Source organism: Homo sapiens, chromosome 17, assembly GCF_000001405.40.
Source record: "Homo sapiens chromosome 17, GRCh38.p14 Primary Assembly".
Taxonomy (NCBI): Eukaryota; Metazoa; Chordata; class Mammalia; order Primates; family Hominidae; genus Homo; species Homo sapiens.
The window spans coordinates 53,756,315-53,758,460 of NC_000017.11; the positions used below are offsets into that span (position 1 = coordinate 53,756,315).

General features: G+C 46.2%; 1 pseudogene; it reads right to left on the bottom strand.

The window, feature by feature from the left end:
• RPS2P48 (ribosomal protein S2 pseudogene 48) lies at positions 638–1,587 on the bottom strand (annotated as a pseudogene).

Genomic DNA, 2,146 nt, shown 5'->3' on the forward strand with positions numbered 1-2,146 from the left:
AAAACCACAGTAAGATTCTGAGATTTATTTTTTGTGCTCATTGACAACAAGCCTCAATATTTTGCAGGGTTCAAAAGGTCACCAAAATGTTTATTATTATTTCACTATAACTTGAAGGGAATACTGTTCAACAGAGAAATCTAATATAGAAAAGAACTTTTGATGATTATTATACTAGTAACAAGAAACTTTTCACTACTATAATTTTCAGATTTTTTCCCTATCTACAAATATGTATTGGCAACTTTTGGTAAAACTGTTAAGTCTTAATTTCGAAGCAAACTTTTTACATCATAAGGGATTGATTCTATGTGAAAAGAGACATTAAATGTTAATATCATTAAAATAGTTAATAAGACATTTGAATTTACATTTGACGTGGCTAGTATTCTCACTGAAATAAATCACATGAAAATACTAAATGGATTAGAGGGTACAGATTCCTCCTATCGTCAGTTAAGTTATTGAACCTAATTACACGAAAGAGTCTTTGGAAAAAAATCAAACTTCTGCATTTTCACATTAGCAAATTATTTCTGAAACTTTATGGTAATGCTGTTAAAATCCATTTATATATTTGTCATTTGAAAATATTGAACTGTTTCAATGAGACCAGTATTTTTGCAATTTTTTTTTTCAGGCTTAATTCACTTTATTTTTCTTGTATAAAAACCCTATGTTGTAGCCACAGCTGGAGCCTGGGTCTGCTGCACGAAGACTCTGGTGTGGGTCTTGACGAGGTGGTCAGTGAATTCCTGACAGGGAGACTTGGTAAATACAGTCTCCTTCCAGAGGTCGGGGGTCAGGTAGCTGTAGGTCTTAGAGATGGCGTCAAAGGTGGCCTTGGCGAAGTTGCCCAGGGTGGCAGTGCAGCCCCGGGCTGAGGTGTAGCAGTCATCGATACCAGCTATCATGAGCAGCTTCTTGGGCACAGGTGCGGAGACAATGCCAGTGCCCCTGGGTGCAGGGATGAGGCGCACCAGCACAGAGCCGCAGCGGCCTGTCGCCTTGCAAGGGACGGTGTGGGGCTTGCCGATCTTGCTCCTTCAGTAGCCTCTGCGCACGGGGACAATGGAGAGCTTGGCCAGGATGATGGCCCCACGGATGGCGGTGGCCACCTCCTTGGAGCACTTAACACCCAGGCCGACGTGGCCATTGTAGTCCCCGATAGCAACAAACGCCTTGAACCTGGTGCGCTGGCCAGCACGGGTCTGCTTCTGCACCGACATAATCTTCAAAACCTCGTCCTTAAGAGAGGCCCCCAGGAAAAAGTCAATGATCTCAGATACCTTAATGGGCAGGGAGAAGGGATAGATCTCCTCCAGGGATTTGATCTTCATTTCCTTGACCAAGCGGCCCAGCTTGGTGACGGGTATCCACTCCTTATCCTCGGCCTTGCCTCCGCGAGCTCCGCGGCCTCGGCCCCGGCCCCGTCCACTGCTGCTACCCCGGCCCCGGATGCCACTGCCGAAACCTCCGCGGAAGCCACCGCGGTTCCCAATCCCAGGGCCCCGACGGCCACCAGGGCCTCCGGGTTCCAAGCTGCACCTGCGTCATCCGCCATTTAGTGTTTTCTAGGAGAAGAAGTTAGTTTTGCAATTTTTAAAGCCTCAAATATCTTGCATTTTTTCTGAGAAACAGGTGAGAGTATTAAAACACTATTTCATTTGTATGTTCAGAATTAATTTGGCTACTTTGTTGCAATCAATAGAGATATGTCAAGGTCAGAAAAGCAAGAAAATGGGAAAAATTCTGAAGTACCACATAGTCAGTCCTCCTGGGGAAGTGAAACGTTATTTAGGACCAAGGCTTCTTCTCAAGTCCTGCCTGGTCAGTCCCTAAAAAAAGGCATCCAGGCCCGGCGCGGTGGCTCACGTCTGTAATCCCAGCACTTTGGGAGGCCGAGGCAGGCGGATCACCTGAGGTCAGGAATTCAAGACCAACCTGACCAATATGATGAAACCCCGTCTCTACTAAAAAAACAAAAATTAGCCCGGCGTGGTGGCATGTGCCTGTAATCCCAGCTACTCGGGAGGCTGAGACAGGAGAATCGCTTGAACTGGGCAGGCAGAGGTTGCAGTGAGCCGAGATCACGCCACTGCACACCATTATGGGCAACAAGGGTGAAACTCCGTTTCAAAACAGA